Source organism: Homo sapiens, chromosome 1 (assembly GCF_000001405.40).
Source record: "Homo sapiens chromosome 1, GRCh38.p14 Primary Assembly".
NCBI lineage: Eukaryota > Metazoa > Chordata > Mammalia > Primates > Hominidae > Homo > Homo sapiens.
In genome coordinates, this window is record NC_000001.11 from 240,923,706 (window position 1) to 240,946,455 (window position 22,750).

Sequence of the window (22,750 nt, forward strand, 5' to 3'; positions counted from 1 at the left end):
TCCAGATGAAAAAAAAAAAACACACACAATTTGTCTTAACGGAATGGATATATTTGAAAGCACTGCAATGTTTTAGATAAAGAAATAAATAATGTCTACTTTTAGAAAAATGAATTTCTTTCACTTTCCCCAATATCTTAAATTCTCAGTTTTCTAATATTATAGATAATGGAATTATTAATGGATTATGCAGATATTTAAGGCACTGTTATTTTATCAGCTATTCAAGGTTCAAGACACAGTTCTAAAGTCATATAGGCTATTAATTTGGTTTTATGTGTTTATTTCAAAATTCTTTTAAATTAGTTCACCATGTATTTGATCTCTTTAGTTGGTCATAAATCCCTTGTCATCTCTTCCCCAAAACAAAACTTTGGATATGGCAAGCTTTCTACCAATGGTAACTGACCAACTTAAAATCTGTCCCTGAAGGAAAAATTACTATTTATCTCAAATCTGCTATAATTATTTTATGTCAGCCTACAATTGCTGTGGTTGGCCAACTAGAATACTTTCTTTTTGCTGGCCTCTTATTATCATGTATGAAAGATGTATTGATTCTCAACATCCTTTTATTATTACTTTAGTATGGTTTTGGCAAGTGGAACTTCATCTTGTCTAGTTGTTTGGGAGCACTAGCTACAGTCTTTCTCCATGGGTCTGAAAACCTTCACAACATACTGGAGAAAAGACAGGCCTTCCATTGAACATTTACTGAGGCATAAATCATCACCCTACAAGATAATGCGATGTTTTGAACAACTTTAATTGTTTAAATTGGGAGGTTCTTATGTGGGGAACAAATTTTTCCTTCTGCAACTGTCATATGTTGGTTTTGCCATACACACCAGAAAGTCTGTATCTCTCCCACACACATCTCTCCCTTCCATACTAAATATGTATTTTTTCTGGCTAAATATTCCTTGTCCTTCAAATTCAAAATTTAATCCAATTCAAAAATTAATGTGGTTACCATGATCTTGACAAAATCTACATTGTAATTAAGGTCTTTTAAGATAGCCCAAGAACCAAATGTAATATTAATTGTATTACCACTAGGATGGCGTGAGTGATGCAGTCACCTCAGGTGCAAAATCTAAGGGAGTGTCAAAAAACTCGGTAATCAAAATAAATAATATTTTAATGCAATATTTGCAAAAATAACATTAATCAAAATAATATTTTAGTGCAGTATTTGAAAAAAATAAAAATTAATGCAAAAAGTTCAAATGGACAAGGATTTGGGTGTGATGGGTGAGATGAGTCATACAAGTAAGTACAGGGGAGGCTCCTGTCTTTTTTGGACATTTCAATTTCTTGGAGTTAAAATCCTATTTGGATATTAGAGATTCAACCCTTGAAAGGAGCCAGCCTAAAGACATTGTTCCATTTGTACTCATTTCTTTTTTTCAATAATAATTTTAATTTTTAGTTTAGATTCAGGGGGTACATGTGCAGGTTTGTTACATGGGTATATTGCATGATACTGAGCTTTGGGGTATGACTGATCCCAACACCCAGGTAGTGAGCATAGTCCCTAGTAGGTACTTTTTCAGCCCTTGCACCCCTCCATCATTCCCCCCACCAGTACCTGCCAGCGTCTATTGTTCTCATCTTTATGCCCATGTATACCCAATGTTTAGCTCCCTCTTATAAGTGAGAACATGTGGTATTTGGTTTTCTTTTCCTGTGTTAATTTGCTTGGGATAACAGCCTCCAGCTGTATCCATGTTGCTGCAAAGGACATACTTTTATTCTTTTTCATGGCTGTGTAGTATTCCACGGTGTATATATATTACATTTTCTTTATCCAGTACACTATTGATGGGCACCTATGTTGATTTCATGTCTTCGCTGTTGTGAATATCGCTGTGATGAACACATAAGTGCACATGTCTTTCTGGTAGAATAATTTATTTTCCTTTGAATATATATCCAGTAATGGGATTGCTGGGATGAATATAGTTCTAGTTTTAGTTCTTTGAGAAATCTCCAGACAACTTTCCACAATGACTGAACTAATTTACATTCCCACCAACAGAGTATAAACATTCTGTTTTCTCCATAGCCTTGTCAGAATTTGTTATTTATTGATTTTTTAGTAACAGCCATTCTGACTGGTGTGAGATCGTATATCATTGTGGCTTTGATTTACAGTTCTCTGATGATCTGTAATGTTGAGCATTTTCTTGTATGTTTGCTGGCTGCTTGTATGTCTTTTTTTGAGAAGTGTCTGCTCATGTCCCTTGCCCACTTTTTAACGGGATTGTTTCTTGCTTGTTGTATTGTTTAAGTTCCTTATAGATTTTTGATATTAGACCTTTGTCAGATGCATAGTTTGCAAATATTTTCTGCCATCCTCTAGGTTGTCTGTTAATTCTGTTGATAGTTTCTTTTGCTGTGCAGAAACTCTTCAGTTTAATTAATTAGTTTTATTTAGTTTAGGTCCCACTTGTCAATTTTGGTTTCTCTTGCAATTGCTTTTGAGGACTTAGTGATGAATTATTTACCAAGGCCATTGTCCAGAATGGTATATCCTAGGTTTTCTTCTAGGGTTTTTATATTTTGAGGTCTTATATTAATCTTTAATCGATCTTGAGTTAGTTTTTGTATATGGTACAAGGTAGCGGTCCAGCTTCATTCTTCTGCATGTGGCTAGCCAGTTATTCCAGAATCATTATTAAATAAGGAATCCTTTCTCCATTGCTTATTTTTGTTGACTTGGCCAAAGATCATATGGTTATAGATGTGCGGCTTTACTTTTGGGCTCTCAATTCTGTTTCATTAGTTTATGTATCTGTTTTGTGATGTGTATAAAATGGTCATTTCTAGGACCCTTTGTGTGCAATGTGTGTGTCCAGAGGTACCAGTAAAAACCCTGCCTCGGCTTCTGTTTCAGTTTGCTACAACTGACACTGTCTCTACTTCTTACCAAAGCTCTCTTGAGTTTTCCTGTGCCTTTGTCTCGAGCCCACACTGCAAGTCCTTAGTGCTGGATCTCTCTTGATGAGCAAATACATCTGGGAAAGCCCATTTCTGACTCCACTTTAACTGGCTTGAATTAGAATGCTTTTTGTACTTGCACACAAAATACCAGAAATCTTATCCAACTTGATTTTCGAAGAATGGAGTTTATAAAGATATAGGCCTTTTAGTCCGTATTGGCTTGTCTTAGTTATTGAACAGAATCAAAACATTCCATTTTTCTATAAAACCAAGATAATTATGAAAAAGTAGTTTTTCATATCAACTGATCTATTGAGGCTTATGTTCAGCAGAACCTACTTGGTAAGTTTAAACTGGGGATGGAAACAGGTCAGGATACTAACAAAATGAAATAAACTGGTTTTTTTTGTTTTGTTTTGTTTTGTTTGTTTGTTTTTTGAGATGGAGTCTCAGTCACCAGGCTGGAGTGCAGTGGTGCAATCTCAGCTCACTGCAACCTCTGCCTCCCAGGTTCAAGCGATTCTCCTGACTCGGCCTCCCAAGTAGCTGGGACTACAGACGTGCGCCACCATGCCCAGCTAATTTTTGTATTTTTAGTAGAGACGGGGTTTCACCATGTTGGCCAGGATGGTCTTGATCTCTTGACCTTGTGATACGCCCACCTCAGCCTACCAATGTGTTGGGATTACAGGCGTGAGCCACCGCGCACAGCCAATAAACTCTTCTTTAACCTGCCTTATGCAATAAAGTCCCTGTGCCCCAAAGTTGTCTTAGAAAAGACAGCCTAAGTAGTTACTGTGCTTTGGACTTCACAGCCCAAGTACATCACACCATCAATATCCTCTTTAAAAGCCGGGAGTGAGGTTTTATAAAAGTATGCTTTAAACAAATGGCAGCAGGAAATTCAAAGTTGGGTAATTCATATTGCTGCTATAATTTGTTTGCACCTAAAAAGAAAAATCGTAGAAAATGAAGCATCATTGCCTGCAGGTACAGACACGTATGGTGTCTGAGATCATTGTTATTCTCTTCCTCTCATTTTTCTCCCATATCCTCTTAATGGAATAATTACATTATTGTAATTTACTTGTATATAATTCAGGCAAGCTAAGCACAACCAATAATATGTTTCTTCAGAGGAAAAAAACCCAAACATAATAATTAAAGAATAAATTAGTTACTGTAAGTAGCAAGTATTCCAGGTTTGGGGAGAAAGTGTAGGAGATGATCCCCTCAGAAATGGACACCAGTGGATGGTAACATGTGTGGGAACAAGAGTGATTCCATCTTGGATGCTAATCTGCCATGTTGGCTCCTGATTAACCCTGAGTCTGGGAATGCCTCCAAGGTGTCTAGTTGATGATTTACTCTCTATGTAGAAACACTTATTTACTCTGAGTTACACCTTTCCTCCACAACAACCCTTGATCTTGTTGCATACATTACCCGTAGCTGTAACACCCATAGCATTCTCTCGGCCACCCACTCATTCCTTCCAGAGCAAATATACTTTTCCTCCAGGATATATAAACCCTGGGTCTGGAAGGTTGTAGTGCGAAGGCCTACCTTTCTTGTGGCCACCCAAGACCACGCTTCTGTCTGTAAGTTCCCCAATAAATCACCCTTTTCCAACACACTGGATTTTTCTGCTCTGTTCTTTGGTTTCTTGGCTCCTTCTGTATTTGGTGGACACTTCGCATATATGACCCTTTCACGGAACAATGTGAAACTTAAACATGCAGCATTTTGGGACGATCTACTTTAAGAGATGTTCTGTAAATGATCTGCTGTGTAGGCCATGACATTTCCTCAGGCTCACCACTGAAACATCAACCTACTATAAAATGATAAAACATGTGCTTTAAATGTGAGCACTCTAACATATTTATGAAAGATGACACAACAGATGGGCAGAAAGAAACACTGAGAATGGGAATTTTATTTTCTTTATAATTTTTTTTTTTTTTTTTTTTTTTAGACGGAGTCTCACTCTGTCATCCAGGCTAGAGTGCAGTAGCACGATCTTGGCTGACTGCAACCTCCATTTCTCAGGTTCAAGCGATTCTCCTGCCTCAGCCTCCCAGGTAAGCTGGGATTACAGGCACGCCCTACCACACCCTGGCTAATTTTTGTATTTTTAGTAGAGATGGGGTTTCGTCATGTTGGCCAGGCTGGTCTCAAACTCTTGATCTCAGGTGATCTGCCCGCCTCAGCCTCCCAAAGTGCTGGGATTATAGGCGTGAACCACTGTGCCCGGCTGGGAATTTGCTTTTCAACAGGGAAAAGAGGCAGTGTATCTGCCAGGCAATAATGATGACAAGCACAAAACACTAATTTCAATGTATTGAGTATGTGAGAGGACCAATACTAGTTTCCTTAGCTGTATTAATTTGAATTATTTTAACAACTTTAGGAAGTCAATATGATTTCTGTTTGAAAAGTGAGCAAACTTAGGCTCAGAGATATTGCACGCCTAAAGTCACACAGTTGGTATGTGGTTATGACAGTATTTATGTTCAGGTCTGTCTGCCTCCAATGCCTGGGTTTTTCTCTATGAGCTCCCTCTTAGCTGTTCCAGTGTTCCTCCACTAGAATTTCATATTCTTTAGTGAGACAATCTCCAGGCATTATCCTAGCTTGAATAAAATGCTCCAGAAAGTTCTCCAACTCAAATCTACAAATCAGTAGTCGTTTTGTAAAATAACTTCTTTCTCCAAGGACCTCAGTTTTGAGGAATGTGTGCCCTGGATGAAGAAACTGGCATTCTCACTACTGGAAAGAAATAATTTTGTCTCCGTATTAATTTTTCGGTATTCTGGTTTTTAGATTTTTTTTTCATGAGTTATGTTAGTTTCGACTCTTTTGACTAGAGCCTGACCATTCTTGGATGATCGACTAAATTCAAGTTTCTGAAATGACACACATGAGAGATAGCTTTATTGATTTTCTATGAATTTTCTTATTTTTTCTTCTTATAAAAATGTCTCTCCAGGAGCAACACCAAAGAAAGCCAAGCTGCTGCAAAGCTTCTCACTGCCTTTGTATATTATGCCAGCTCCTCTACCTCAAACGCTTGCCCTGCCTTCTCATCTGAAAAATCTTTCCTCTTAAGATCCAGCTCAAATGGTACCAGTTCTCTCGCAAAATCATTCTGGAAGACCCCAGGGAAAGTCAATTTCTCATTCTTTTAAACATTCACATAATTTTGCATATATCACTCTCCTATTCACTTGACACTCTACAGTAACTCCTTCTGTATAATCCTATTTTCCCATCTAGCCTGTGAGCTACCCAATGGTGTCAATGAACTCAGTCCCCTTTGCGAACCTAGCATCTTCTACTGCACTGGCATAGGAAGAAAAATACTCAATAAACACTTGCAGAAATGACATTTAAAAACCATGCAATCTTGTCTTTGAAAACTGTACTGTTCAGGAAGATCTAAGAAGATGAATACTTACTAGGGGCTCTTTTTCTCCTTGAAGAGCTTGAGTGAAATAATGGCTGTTGAACCAAGTTTGTTCTAAGTTCACTGAACTTGATTTATTAGCATTGAATTTTCTTTTTTAGCTTTTTTTTTTTTTTTTTTGCTTGTAATTGGCCTCTTCATGTTTAACACAACCCTCCACCTATAAAAATCATAGGATACTTCACAGAACAGTGAGAAAAGCGGACCCTTGGGACGTCAAGGGACTTACTAAAAAGCACACAGCTAAGTGGGAGAGTTGAACTAGAACTCTGGTTCTATGGGTCTATTTTTTATTCTTTCTAGTAGGCCAGGTTGCTATGACAAAACAATAACCCCTTTAAGCTTATTTACAGCTCTTTAACCTAATCAGAAGGCTTTCTTTAATAGTTGCAGAGGGCACCATACCACAGAGAAAGTTGTCACGAGGTCTGGTGACTTTCCAAACAAAGCCGCTTATCAATTCAATGTTAAAAATATTGGTCCCATCCTGAGAACTGTGGTTTCCTTTTCTTAATGAAAAAAGCAATAAAACGCAAGTACACATCCATCTACACATACAGGCTGTCAATAATAAAATAATGAGAGATGGCACTGACCATAATCTGTGTTTTCCGGCTCCCAACAATTTGATGGCCAAAAATAGGGGGTCTGCGGAATGAAAAGAAGTGGAACCCAGATTAGACAAATAAAAAATTAGTGGAGTTTCTGGCCAGTGAATTACATTTATCTTCCACAATTCTCTATATTAGTTTGCTATATGTTTTATAATACAGAACATGTTCCAAGAGAGACATTGAAAACTCTTTGTCTACATGTACTTTGCTGACCAATTGCTCAGCTTCTAAACATGTGTAGTACCAGCAAGCAGGTATTTAGAATGTCATCCCTTTGCTGTAATTTTACACCAACTGACATAAAGGCAAAAAGGTCTGATTGTATATTCAAGCAAAAAGTATTCATCCACAGAGAGGACTGAAAGAGTATGTTCGGCAAGACTCAGGATGAAATATATTTAAATATAACAAATTGTTTTCTATGAATCATGTATTTCAACACTGCTTTTGGTAGCTCCAAAAAGCTCAACCAACCGATAGACTCTTTCTCTGAGATCTGACAATGATTTGCCTGGCTCCATTAGTCATATAATTCAGTTCTCAGCATTGTCCAATGAGATTAAAGCAACTTTTTACTCTCACTTTTAAAGACATTTCCTAAATTCCTCTTGTAACTAATTTCTACCATTTAGTCGTGCAACAGGGTGACTCGAGTCAATAGTAACTTAATTATACATTTAAAAATAACTAAGAGTGTAACTGGATTGTTTGTAACACAAAGAATAAATGCTTGAGGGAATGGAGATCCCATTCTCCATGATGTGATGACTCCACATTGCATCCTTGTATCCAAACACCTCATGTATTCCATACGTATAAACACCTATTATGTACCCACAAAAATTAAAATTATAAAATTTAAATTAAAAAAACCTACAAAAAATAAATAAAAATAGAAACATTTCCTTACAAAGACACTTGTTTCTCTAAAGTTTTAAACTGCACAAATCAGAGATTTTTTTTAAAGGAATAGTGTCTTAATTGAGTGATACAATCTGCAATAGGCAGAATCCAGATTCTGTAGAATCTAGAAACTGACTGACTAAACTACAAAGAAAATGTCTGACCGAGAGAAACTTTATTATTATCATTAACATTTATATTTTCTAAAAGGACTTTCCTAGCCCTGCTAGCTGAACATGCTTGGCTCCTGACCACGAAGAAACCTGATGATCACCTGTCTCCTTATCAACCCCTAGTCCCTGGAATGATGAGGCCTGCAGGACTCACTGTAACAGTGATGGCAAATATCAGTACTGTGGGCTTAATTCTATCTGTTAGCTAATTACACTAACTACCATGTGCAATAAGCATATTTGGAGTCATCTCTGATTATCTGATCATTTTCCCCTCTAGAAGAGAGACTCTAAAGAAGGGAAAATGGGTAGATAGGGAGAACTGTTTGAATCTCTACAGAAAAGTCTTTCCAAACTGTCTCAGAGGCCCCCCCGACTACCATCACCCAGGGATTTCAACTTACCCTCCGTTCTTTCTTGGGAATTACAGTAGTAAAATAAAGAAGGCTACTAACAGTAGTTTTGTGAACATGAGAACAAAATCATCGTAGGAATTCTGAAGAAAGAAAAAAAGACTAAACTGCTAGACAAAAGAGGATAGTAAGACTTTATGTGGGTCACCCTTATCACCCCAATCTCACTTGACTCCATAGGAGATGAAGCTTTGAGAATTCGATTTCTTAAAAATAAAATTGAATCAGGATTCTAGGATAGCCCTAGGGGGACAAAGTAGTTAAAACTTTGCTTTCATGTAGGGTGTCACTTTTTTTTTTTTTGAGACAGGGTCTCACTCTGTTGCCCAGGCTGGAGTGCAGTGGTGCGGTCTCAGCTCGCTGCAAGCTCCGCCTCCCGGGTTCACGCCATTCTCCTGCCTCAGCCTCCCAAGTAGCTGGGACTACAGGTGCCCGCCACCACGCCCAGCTGAGTTTTTGTATTTTTAGTAGAGACGGGGTTTCACCGTGTTAGCCAGGATGGTCTCGATCTCCTGACCTCGTGATCCGCCTGCCTCGGCCTCCCAAAGTGCTGGGATTACAGGTGTGAGCCACTGTGCCCGGCCTAAAAACGATTTTCTGATATGCTATTTCTTAGGTTTTATAAGAGATATATTTCTACTTTGGTATCTTTCTTTTTTTTTTTTTTTTTTTTTTTTTGAGACAGAGTCTCGCTCTGTCGCCCAGGCTGGACTGCAGTGGCGCGATCTCGGCTCACTGCAAGCTCCGCCTCCCGGGTTCACGCCATTCTCCTGCCTCAGCCTCCCGAGTAGCTGGGACTACAGGCGCCCGCACCACGCCCGGCTAATTTTTTGTATTTTCAGTAGAGACGGGGTTTCACCGTGTTAGCCAGGATGGTCTCCATCTCCTGACCTCGTGATCTGCCCCCCTCGGCCCCACAAAGTGCTGGGATTACAGGTGTGAGCCACCGCGCCCGGCCGGTGTTACTTTCTGAGATGCTTCTTACGGAGTGCATTGTTCCCTCTGGGTAGTTTCTATATTTTGGGGAGTATATATGTGTATGTATAGGTGTGTGTGCAGGCATATCTATTTATCTAACCTTAAAATACCTATTCTACTCAGACAAGACATATACTTTTTTCCCACAAAAGCACAAAAAATATTCTCAACTGCATTCTTATATTTTTCTTCATTCTCCATCATTTACTTTAGTGAGAATTTAATGACTGTAAAATTAAAGCATAAAGTAATTTTTTCTTGTGATATTATGTGGAAATGCCACTAAACCAATGTTCTTCACTAATATGGAAGATTTTTTCTAAGAAGTAGTGTTTTGATCTGTAGTAAACGATAATATAGGAGAACAACAAACTCTTACAGTTTTTTTTGGAATTTAAATACATACTTTCATAGTTCTACCATACATTAGGACATTTTAATGCATGAGTTTCTTGATTTTTCAATATTGGCTTCCTTAGCTAGGATGAAACTCATCCAAAACTGTTCAACTGTTGTTCAATAACTGTTGGAGCATATACTAATGTATTGAAAGTCATGAAAGAGAGCTAAAGAATTACATCAGATCTCATTTTCAGTTAGCTAAGAGAGGATGATTAGACAATTGTGACTTTACGGTAAATTTAAAAAATCACATGATTAAGACATGTACTACAAATTTGAGACAAATATATAAACTGTCATGCCAATGAAATAAAGATTTCTGTTTATCTCAAATTAATGCTTTGAAGACTCTTTAGATTTTTTTATTATTATTATTTTGAGATGGAGTCTCGCTCTGTCACCCAGGCTGGAGTGCAGTGGCACCATCTTGGCTCACTGCAACCTTCGCCTCCTGGGTTCAAGCAATTCTCCTGCCTCAGCCTCCCAAGTAGCTGGGACTACAGGCACGCACCATCACATCCAGCTAATTTTTGTATTTTTAGTAGAGATGACGTTTCACCATGTTGGCCAGGATGGTCTCAATCTCGACCTCATGATCTGCCCACCTCTGCCTCTCAAAGTGCTGGGATCACAGGCGTGAGCCACTGCGCCCAGCCTAGATTCTTAATGATGGTTAGACTCCCAATCATTCACTGGAGGATTTGTAAACACGGCATCCCAACTTTTCTACTTTAATTTATGATTTTAAAATATCCTTCCAAGGAGTTGAATTTCACTTCGGTGTAATAAAGAACTTTCGCTGCTTGGAACCAACGTAAAAACAGAAGTGAAGACCTTGAATAATAATTTGTTTTCTATTATTGGAACTCTTCAAATATGGACTGGTTAATGACTTGGTAGACATTATAGTAGAAATTCAGTTACCTCTGAGTTTTCTGGTGTTTTTTAAAATCTTGGTTTCAGAACTCTAATATTATTAGATTTACAAATGTGTTTGTTATATTTAGATACTATTTCAAATATGGATGCATCATTAAAATATGTAACATTTACTATTTAGCACTAATGTAATTTTAATGTGTATATGTATAGATAGTTTATTTTATATCTGCCTATCTATCTCAGCACACTGAACTTGACAACTCTCTGTCTATCCCTAGTAGTTACATAATTCATATGTCATTTGTACCCATTCCCTTGCTTTGTTCTAAAGCTCTTTTAAAAATTCTCTCCTTTTCTCCTGTGTGTATGGTGATCCCTTCCTTCACATGGCTTTTTTTTTTTTTTTTTTTTTTTTTTTTTTGAGACTGAGTCTCGCTCTGTCGCCCAGGCTGGAGTGCAGTGGCACAATCTCGGCTCACTGCAACCTCCATCTCCCAGGTTCAAGCTATTCTCCTGCCTCAGCCTACCAAGTAGCTGGAATTACAGGCACATGCCACAACACCCAGCTAATTTTTTTTGTTTGTTTTTTTTTTAGTAGAGATGAGGTTTCACCATGTTGGCCAGGCTGGTCTCAAACTCCTAACCTCAAGTGATAGCCCGCCCTGGCCTCCCAAAGTGCTGGGACTACAGGCATGAGCCACTGTGCCCGGCCTCGGTGCCCTTTTAGACCCATGAGCATGACTAAGACATGTAAACCTTGTCTGTCTACTACATTTTCTGGGAATAGAGATTTCTTTAAAAAAATCAGGAAGCATTAGTCACATAAAAACAATTTATTTGCTGATCACCAATAATTCCTAGTTATTAAAAATTTAATCTTGGGGCCAGAAGTTACTTTAATAATATGCTATTTTAAGCTACCATTAGTGTAAGTTTTGCTGTATAAAGAATAAAGCTCCATTAATGTAAAGCTTTTTTAAGTTACGTAATTTAACTAAGTGCTTGAATACTTAGGTCAGTATCACAGTTTCAGGATACAGCTTTATTTCCTCCTAGCTCTTAAGTCCAAAACTGTCCTACGATTATTTGCCTTGGAAGAAATGAGTCCAAGGAAGGGGCAGTGAGACTGTTCTATGAGGACAATAATCTTTAAAATGATTTTTTAAAGCAAATGATTAAAGTGATTTTTAAAGCATATTTCCTCTTTGTTCTCAGTTTTCCCAAACAAATTTTAGGTACTCTGATTACTATTCAGTCATTTATGTAGACATAGAGCATTTAATAATACTTAGAACAAGTGAGAAGAAGGCTCCAAAGTCTGAAAGTTGGACTGTGGGGAGAACCCTCCAGCAAATACCTCTTGGAAATGGATTAGAGTTTGACATCCAGCATTTTATGTGCCTTAATTTTACAGGCTAGAATCTGCTAATCAGTTATTAATGAGCCATAATGTCTACTGAAATGTAGAATATACTTTAGGTAAATCAATGTGAACTCAAGTGTCAAATATACTTACAATGACTGAAATCAGAGTCCACAATCATTGCCAGAAAGAATAATAGCATCTGTGTCATTTGCAAATGACCTAGAATGACTCTTATCAGTTTGCAAGTTATCTGAGGTGTCCTGTTGCAGTTGAGTGCACACACACAATATATCATCATGTCAGTCTTTACAGATTTGTAGAAGAGCCTAGGATGCTGAGAGTTTATTAATTAGCTGAATCCTATCTGGAGTTTCAAGCATTCCTGTTAAAATTTACTTGGGCTGAAGATGGTCTGGATCACAGGCAAGGGTCAGACAGAGGAAGACTCTCCGGTCCTTCCGAATGCCATTAAGTCACTTTATGAATTTCCCTTAAGCTTTTCATATAAAATAGAAATTCAATCATCACACAATTTAGCTTTCACACATCATCTTGACTAAGCATACTTTATCTTTCTCTGTGTTTATTGCTTTTTATGTCTTTAGTTTAATGTTAATCAGTTTCTAACTAGCCTAAGTCAAAGTAAAATAAGTCATAGTTTTTAAAAGTTCTGTTCAAAAGAAACCTAACTAACAAACGAAATGCGGGCTTCTAGTTTACTGTTAAAGAACATTTCTAATAAACTTACTTGAAACCGGTAAAAGGTGCCATCATCCTTGAGTGTGAGGACATGATCTGAGATTGGAAAGAAGTAGCCGTGGGCAGCCATTAATGTTCCCAAATGGAGCGCCTCCACTGTTTTATGAAAACAAACAAAGAACATAAAAAAGCCTTTTAAATGTATTCTTTTATAGGAATGTAACGTTTTTGTGTGGTTCCTTTTGTCAGATACAGTAAGTTCCTCTTGAAAGATTTAATTTCTGACTTCCTTGTTCTTTGCTCTCGAGATAAACTTCCTTGTCCCTTCTCCTAAGCTACCTGCTCTGTAAACAACTTCTCCTACCAGTCCCAGTCTGTAACTCACATCTCTTCCTTATTTGGAAACAGTCCTCCTTTACTCCTGGCTACCCATTCTGTAAACTGCCCCTCCCACTGAAACAGGTCTTCCAGCCAAAACTACACTTCCTGCCTTTGCCGTGCCCTGACATGCCCAAACATGCCTTGTACCGAAACGGACAGCCTCTCCCTTCCCACCTAATTAGCCATATTCAATTTTAAACAGTAGCCAATCGGGTCAGTTTAGATTGTGTGGTACGACTCCAGCCAATGGGGACAGGACACAGAAGCAGGGACTAATAGCGTTAGGGATAAAAACCCCTTCCCTCCTTTGTTCGGTGTGCTCTCGCAGTGGCCAGAAGTGCGAGTGGCACCCTTCTGCAGAAGTAAATTTGCCTTGCTGAGAAATCCTTTGTTTGAGTGCTCGTTTTCCTTGCGACTCCCAGCTCTTGTTTCTAACACTTTAGAGTACATTCTTGGCATTCTGAAAACCTGGCTTTGTGCTTTTTCTTCTTTTTTCAGCTCTTTCTCACAAGACACTAAGATGGTTCTAGTTCCTGGTAGCAACTGCCATGACCAACCTCATCCAATGACAACAAGTCCATGAGAAGATAAAGTTAAGAAACATTAAAATGGGAAGGCTCTTCTCAATCTGTAGAGTATGTCTCCCTCATTTTATAGATGTGTGTTGGCCCATGTGATAATGTTCTCTCACAGGCAGTTGCATTTGGCATTTATAGCACTTTAAACTTTTAAAAGTTTTCACTTGCATCACCTCATTCTCAATATCATAGCAATCTAGTACCATCAGTAATGTTTCTAATGATATGGACCATTATTTTGTGATGCTATGAGGGAATGTTAAGGCATCAAGGACCATGTATGCTGCACTATTGAATCTACAGACTGGTGATTGTAAAGATTGTTCTAGCTTTTACTATTCTATACAGTGTTCTAAATATGGAGTAGGAAGAGATTTATTGGACAATGTAAACATATAGTCTGAAACTAAGGCTGTAATACTCATACTGTTTATAGCTGCCAACAATTTCTTCCAACAAAAGGGTTAGTAAAATTTGGTCAATAGTTATTACTGCGTTTGTGCAGAGATGACATAAAGTTTTCTAACTTAAAGGCTAGAAAATATGAAATTATGCAAAATAGTTTTCTACCCCAACAAAAAAAATATATGTACAGTTGTCCCTTGGTATCCTCAGGGGATTGGTTTGAGGACCTGCACAGATACCAAACATCAAGGATGCTCAAGTTCCCCACTTTGCCCTCCCACATCTGTGGATTTTTGATCATGGGTGGTTGAATCCACAGATGTGGAAGTCATAAATAGAGAGGGCCTACTGTATGTAGAAAATACCAGAAAAGTTAGATTTATTTATCTGTTTATGTATCTTTATGTATAATTCATTTATAAATTTATTTCTGTTTCTTAGTCAAGAAGCTAGGATTCTTACAGCAGTTCTAGGACAACATGGATCTATCTATATCTCCAGCCATCAACCATGGGGAGCTTTTACACCTCAGTTAAGAACTGAGTAACTAAGTAGCTAGCTATGGTACAGCAAAGCATAAGAATCCCATCCTTTTACCCCTTACACCTACATAAATAAACAATTTGTTGTTAAATTTTTATCTGTTTTGGGGTACTATGATGCCCCTTGAAATTGTTATCTAGCATTTTGCAAACATTTCAATTGATAACTTCTACCTCTGATCTCTCCCTGCATTGTTCTTGCCGATAATAAAGAACAACTGCCAATTATTCTTCATTCTTTGCCCTGGCTTTGGAAGACTGTTACTAACTGCTCCAGCCATCATCTCCAAACTCGCAGTCAAGTCTCTCTGTATAGAATGTTGTTTTTTGTACAGAGGAGCATTTTTTTTTCATCAATTTTGTGCGTGTGTGTGTGTGTGTGTGTGTGTGTATTTCCATCATTTCAACATCCTTTCAGTTCAAAGTCAAGGCCTTCTCAAAGCATGCATTGCTCATAGCAACATGCCTACCTATCCTTGTTAAAACTTTAGTGCCAGGGTGTCATTGTGGAAAGAACAAGAACTTTGGAGACACCCACTGTCTTCTGTTACTTTCATTCTCTGTGCCTCCCCCATCTATTAATAAAGGTCATAAACCTACCTGGCAGGATTGACGTGAGAATGACATAAGCACACTTGTAATGAAATTGGAATCATGCTTCCAGCCTAGTAGGTACTATGTATATGGTAGCTACTGTGCTTCATTATTTACACACAAAATAATTTTTACTTTTCTACAAACCACTTTCAGAGAATCTACTTCCATACATTTGCCTTCTGCTAGGTTGAGTGAATATTTCCAACACAAAAAAAACATAAAACTTTGAAGTGATAGATATGTTAATTATTCTGATTTGATCATTGCACATTTCATGTATTGAAATATTACTCTGTACCCTATAAATATCTAACAAAAGTTTTAAAAAGCTAGGCTGAGTGAGGAATCCTGACAGTCCTAAGCAGCCACGTTCATCAACATCATCTTATTCTCTTTTTTTTTGACTGTCTGTAAAATTAAAATGGTAAGAGGATCTAGAAAGATAGTTGGCCCATAACAAATGAGCAGGTGGTTATAGTCCTGGTTAAATTCTGAATCCCTAAGTACCCCTGTGGACGAGTGAAGAATATGCCATCCCAAAATACCCCAGATTGTTTCAAGTTGAAAACACTGGATGAATTGTAGTTTCAGAAAGGGCTAGCTGGCCTATCTCTTCCTATATGCAGCAAGCCATAAAGATTCCTCTGGGAGGGGTATCTTGCTTTTGCCAGGGCAAGAAAATAGCTCTTATCACCAGAGACTGGGAGTTGGGGGCTGCAATGAACCTGAATAAAGGGCTGGATGCGGTGGCTCATGCCTGTAATCCCAGCACTTCGGGAGGCCAAGACGGATGGATCAATTGAGGCCAGGAGTTCAAGACCACCATGGCCAACCTGGTGAACCCCGTCTCTACTAAAAAAAATAAAAAATAAAAAACTTAGCTGGGCATGGTGGCAGGCATCTGTAATCCCAGCTACTTGGGAGGCTGAGGCATGAGAACCACCTGAATTCGGGAGGTGGAGGTTGTAGTTAGCAGAGATCACGCCACTGCACTCCAGCCTGGGCGACAGAACAACACTCTATCTCAAAAAATTAAATTAAATTAAATTAAGAAATAAACTTAATCAAGTAACCCCTACTTTCCACTAGTTTTATGCCCCCAATATATTCCCTAGTGATTCTGCTAGAAAATTTACTGCCTTCAGCCAGATTTTCTTTGTTCTGTCATTTTTTTCTTAAATTTATTATTGTTTGTCTAAAAAGTATAGAAGTGTCTTGCTTTGGCCATTTCTTCAGACTTCACACTCTTGTGAAGATCCCCATGTACATGTAAAACTAATAAAATGTGTATGATTTTCTCTATTAATCTGCCTGGTATCCACCTGGTCTCCAGATCCACAGAAGAGCTTAGGGGGGTTGCAGATGATCTCTGACTTCCTTACACCTGTTAGGGAATATAGGGTGGGGCAACATGTAACATCCTTTGTAGGTGGCCCATCTGTCTTCGTATAGCCATCTTTATTATTTTAGTCCCAGCAGTCTGTGGCCTGGGAAGATAGTGTTAGCACACTTTCCCGGAAGAAAAATTAAGTTACGGCACATAAGGAAATCTGCGGAGTATAGATACAAGAAGGGAAAACTGAGATGCCCAGGAAGATAGACAGTAAGAGGAGCTTCTGAGTTCTAAGCATAGGAAAGAGTGTGACTAAAACCAAGCCAAGGAACAACAAAAAGCAATTGGGTGTTAAAGTGTTGATGAGGATTAGAAAAATAGAGTGAAAGTAAATATAGAGATGCTACAAAAAAGAAAAACAGAAGTGAGTGATCATAAGACTATTCTTGACTCCTGCATCTCATTAACTACTAATTTACAAGTTATATACTTATAGAGTGCAAAGTGTATGTTGGCAGGTTCTTCTTCATGTAATACTACCATAATTAGTCATTAATAAATGCTTGCAAATGAGTATGAGTGAATTAGTAAAATTCTCCTTCCTTTTTTGAGGTACAATATTTTCATTTGATTTGATGATATGCATTCTCATTTTACTTCTCTTCTGAGTGATACTTATGTTCCATAATTTTACAATTAAGGAAAATTTGTTTTGATACTTTTGCATCATGTCATGAATTTAGTAGAAATATACTGGTGGTGATACAGGTAAGACCTAGATTTAATTTCTATGTGAGTCACACACATTTCATATGTCAAGGTGAAATCAAACCTTTTGACTTAATAGTTAAGAGGACTGATCTTCTCACAATGCTTACAAATGGTTTTAAGATTTTTGGTCAAATAGTAATCTAGAGGTACTGAAATAATAATAGATATTTTGTGTTCATTACAGGATCTCCAGAAAATATAGCTCCAGAGCAGGATAAATGCCTAGATGAAAAATCAGAAAGTTGGGGTGAATTTTTTGCTTCATTTAGGATGACAAGTTTAGCACTCAGCATATCCATGGCAAAAGTAGCAAGTGAATCAATATTTGCTAAATCAATGAACAAGGACATTTATGAGTAAATGACACACCAAGAATATTAAAAACCTAACACTGCATAGAAAAACACCAGGCTAATTATTGTGTGTTATAAGCTGTTGAGGTGGGGCTATTGTAGCTATTTTGTTGTGAGAAAATATAATAGTGATATTAACAAGATAAATGCCAGTAAGAATGGACTTGGGGCAGTATTCTCAAGACAGACTTGTTTATTGTTAGGGACAAACATGGTGCCACAGTTCCCTGTGGTCCCACTGCTCCGAAATCTTAGCACCATCTTAATCTAATAAGAATCCATAAGACCGCTGACAATCTTGGAACAAAGTGTTGAAAGAGTTTACTGAGTAATCTGTCAAGATCACTCTCCCAATAACGGCACACCAGATGGCCCAGCAGCATCACGCTTCACGGCAAAATAATCGCTAATTAATCTTCTCGTACATGTGTTATTCTCTTCACCCACACAGCTAAAGTTCAACAATAAACCTACTAAAAAATTCCAGCTTATTTTTTTGTTTGGATATTCAAGCCATGAGCAAGCTGAGAAACAAAAATCAATCTCCAAACACCTCTGATTAAGTGAACAGCCTAGAACAGCTTTGTTAAGCCTGATACCAACATAGGATGATTTCACCCCAAACTCTAAAGGAATGGTATTATCAACATCCTCGGATAGCGAAGAGAATTCTCCACAGCATAATTTGCTTTTGACCACAACGATTTCAAAAAGTTAACAGGATGAAAACCACAGTATAAAAGAGGCTTGTGGAACTCCAGGGGTGCAATCGGTTAGCTCACGGTGCTTATAAAAGAGGCTTGAGTACTTGAGTGTAAAGTACTCTATATTTACAATGTAATTTTAAAACTCAGTAATATTTTTCTTACCCAGAGGCTCAACTTCTTGCAGCCTCCTCTTCTTTTAAATACAGCTCATAATTTTGCAACGATTAATAAAATGCCTCTGAGTCAAGAAAGTAATTTAAAAACTTCACTGAATCCTGTATTTTTATCACTATCATGTTATTTACTCTTATTTATGTGCATGTATTAACATTTTTTTCATTTCCAACACAGTATAAGTATCAGTAGTGTGTGGGGAGAAATATTTTAAAAGAAAATCTAAAAAGAAAAAAGATGGCAGCTGATTATATTAAGGAAACAGAGATGCTAAAATGAAGACAAAGGTAAGTTACTTAATGATAAAATAACAGGTATTCATCAGGACAATTCTGAGCCATAAAAAGAAGATATGTTAGACTTGTTACTTTCTGTTTAAGAAGACATGGAAGTGGTCATTTTAGAAATCCTTCAAAATATTATGCTTTATTTTTTAGAACTGGCATTTGGAAAGGTAAGATTATTCATGTAGAAAAATCTCATATGCGGAACATTTTATTCTCCAACAAAACCAAGTAAAAATGGACTATTACCATATTTAGAAATTTCTGAAGTAAGTTTATTTTCTCAACAGTAGGAGTTAGTAAAAGAAGTACCTCAGCTTTCATCTTTTTAAAAAAAACATCATTTGCATGTAAGAAAAATCAAGTGCCGCTTTCTCAACAGCAATCATAATTCGGGATAGAGAAGTGAATAATAAGGTGACATAGAATAGATAAGCTAAAAGAGATTCTATTTGGGAGAAATAAAAACAGAATCATAATTTATATCAACATTGAGGAATGCAATAAGAAATTAATATAAGTAAACGCTATTTCCAAAAAAGGAGCAGAGTACAAAGGCTATGCCAGTCCCCTGCCTAGGTTCACATCCCGGGTCCCTCATTTGCTGGCTGTGTGACCTGAGCAAGAGACTTGGATTCTCTGGGCCTTGGTGCCCTCATCTGTAATCATCTGTAAGAAGTTGACAAAATAATAATGCCAAAGATTAGCAGTAAGGATCCATTGAGATAATATGCACAATGCACTTAAAACACAGTCTACCACACAGACATGCTCCTGAGATGAGAGTTATTATCAGTTGATACTTATGAAGTGTCACATTCAGGAGCACTTAATCTAGTTTAAGGGGCGATGGGAAACATTAGTAGCTAGTGTTGCTCTGGGTTTCCCAGTCATGTTAAACACTTCCAATTCAACTCTATTTTAAACGCCCCAGGTGATCAAACCAGAGTGTTTTGTGGGCTGAAATATGCCTATGTTTTTCCCTACAGCAAAGAACACTAACAAAATCCCAAAAAGAAATTAGGGACAAACTTATTATATATCACAGGGATAGCCACAGATTTCCAAAGGCGGCATGCTCCACACGCTAGGTTTACAAAACCATACTGTGAATACCAGATGCCAATGAGAGACCTGCCTGCTTTAGAGGAGGACTGATGTGAGGACACCCTGAACCTGACAGTAGAAGAATAACAGGGACAGAGAGAGCACGGGGACAGCAATCAGAATGGGAGATGAATTCTTAGGGAAGCATAATATTTGCCTAGGACTAAAAAAAGAAAATCGACATTAAAATAATAAAGCAATTGGCAGTGAGAGCAACAGATAATCATAAGTCAACGATCTTTTTTACACACACAGAGTAGACCAGTCTAGATGTCTAATGGCAGTTATGACATCTTAGGCATTCTGCATAGATGAAAAATCATGCTGAAATTTGAAAAAATGATCCATGTAATACTGGTGTGAATAACTGGTTTCAGATCTACATTATACAGCCTATATGATATTAGCATGTTCATTCCCCAGATTTAGATAGGTAGTTCCATCAGCCAATCCTTTAACAAGATTCTGTTATATTATATGTGTGTGTGTGTGTGTGTGTGTATATATATATATATATATATATATATATATATATATATATATATATATATGTTAGGTGCATAGAATAGTATTCAGATGAGATAAAAATCATGCTTACTTCATCTAAGTACAGTGTGAGGAAACCATCACAATGGCAAGGGCCAGGGCAGTAATAAATTACAGTGGAAAACAACATTCCATCTAAAATTCAGTATACATTCTGCAAAATTTCCATTAGTTAATCTGGCTGAATGAGCTGGAAGAAAGTAGGGCACTGAATTAACTTTTTAGTAGGCAGAGGAGTTTCTACAGCATGTATTTCTTCAAATCAGAGAGAGCACACACTGCCAAACAAGCACATGTGGAAATCATGGGAAAAAAAGGCTCAACTGCAAGTCATGGGGCTTAAATTCTAATCCTAGTGCCTGTAACTGCATGTCAGGAGTAAGTCACTTCCTTTCTTTTGTTTTGAGATGGAGTCTCACTTTGTCACCAGTCTGGAGTGCAGTGGCGCGATCTTCGCTCACTGCAACCTCCGCCTTCCAGGTTCAAGCGATTCTCCTGCCTCCGCCTCTCAAGTAGCTGGGACTACAGGCATGCGCCACCACGCCCGGCTAATTTTTGTATTTTAGTAGAGACAGGGTTTCACCATGTTGGGCAGGATGGTCTCTATCTCTTGACCTCGTGATCTGCCTGCCTCGGCCTTCCCAAGCATTGGGATTACAGGCGTGTGCCACGCATCCAGCCAAGTCACTTCCTTTCTTAGAGCTGGCATCTGTAAATGCAGCGGGGATCACTAAAGACTTTTTAGTTCTGAGTCCATGACAAGATGTGCAGTCAAAACACTAGCTAGAAGTTGTGGCAGAGCAGCCGCCATCCTTATTTTTGCCTCCTTGTGTCAAAGGGAAATGGATTTTTCTTTATTTCTCAGACATTCTTGCCATTGCCCATGTCCCAATACTCTAACACGAAAGAGAAAAATAGCCCAATACGAAATATAAAAGCTGATTTTAATTTCAGTTGCTTATAACTCAATCCTGATGATTCTCAAGGGCTGCTATAGTATAGAGTTTTTGTACACAGAGCAAATGAATGCTTATTCCAAATAGGAACTGGTTTTATGAGTGTGTTCTATTTACACATTTTCAAAAACTAGTTGTAAAAACGCACACATGTCTTGGGATTAGCCAATAACACATCCCATGTGCCAAAATATCCTGAATGCATTTTGTTTGAAAATCAAATATCACTCCTAAGGAATAAGCAATATAGTCTTCTCATAATACCTGTTAATGGTATCTCTTTTAAAAATCACTATTCCTTAATATTTGAACCATAATGAATGATAAGTCTAATTTCAAAGCCACAGGCTTGGTCACTGAAACAGTCACAGTTTTTATGAAATTTCAAAACAAAATCAGTGGAATGCACTTTTATCTGTATTTTGCAGAAACAAATGCTTGAATTGAGAAAAGTGTGTAGGACGTCAGGACTGATGTTTGCAACTTTTGAATAATCTTTACAGCAAAGTATCATTTTAAAAATCCTAGTTTATAAAAGCACATGTATTTATCAATTTTTATTTTTAAAATCTCTGTGTGTATATGTTGGTGTATGAGTTTTAGTAACTAAAATAATCTGAAAATAAGAATTTTAGATTTTAGAATACCTAAAATCTAATACACAAGCTTTCCATGAACCTACTGGATAGAGATCATCTTTCTCAAAATTAGTTTGGAAACTAGATATGGGTAAATTTGTTAAATAAGATGTATTAAAACATTTTTTCTGTTTGCTGTTTTAAAACCAGCACAGTCTTTCATAAACAATTTGATTGTAATTTTAAATACCACAATTAAAATTATAACTACTGCCTAACAATAACAATGAGGCAGGTTCAGAATCCATAATGAGTAAATTCAGATGAGTTATTTAAAGTATTAACAACTCCCCTCAAAAATCCCCCCCTCTTTTCTTCACCATTCTGCTTGCTAATTTCACTATTTTTTGTAATTAGCCAGAATTTAAACATCAGATGTTTTTAAAGAATTAAAATCAGGCTGGGCATGGTGGCTCACACCTGTAATCCCAGCATTTTGGGAGGCCAAACTGAGAGGATTGCTTGAGACTAGGAGTTCGAGACCAGCCTGGACATCATAGTGAGACTCCATCTCTACAAAAAGTTTCTTAAAA

General features: G+C 37.5%; 1 protein-coding gene across 22 annotated transcripts in view, besides 1 other annotated feature; it reads right to left on the minus strand.

Moving 5' to 3' along the window:
* Positions 1–22,750, minus strand: part of RGS7 (regulator of G protein signaling 7) — a 582,489-nt gene that overhangs the window by 148,964 nt on the left and 410,775 nt on the right. For 19 of the 22 annotated variants that reach the window (NM_001374806.1, NM_001374813.1, NM_001374812.1 and 16 more), the window contains 2 exons: positions 12,895–13,001; positions 7,012–7,063 (listed from right to left, as the gene is read on the minus strand). The exons of the other annotated variants lie outside the window; for them this stretch is intronic. In NM_001374806.1, the coding sequence (NP_001361735.1) occupies positions 7,012–7,063; positions 12,895–13,001 (159 nt within the window). The remainder of the gene's footprint in view (positions 1–7,011; positions 7,064–12,894; positions 13,002–22,750) is intronic. 22 annotated transcript variants of the gene reach the window in all.
* Positions 12,635–13,834: an enhancer, noted in NCBI's record as "MED14-independent group 3 enhancer chr1:241099640-241100839 (GRCh37/hg19 assembly coordinates)". NCBI's record gives its function as "activates an origin of replication core promoter dependent on BRD2, BRD4, P300/CBP and CDK7 cofactors, and independent of MED14, by STARR-seq in HCT116 cells {active_cell/tissue: HCT116}" and the evidence as "EXISTENCE:reporter gene assay evidence [ECO:0000049][PMID:35650434]".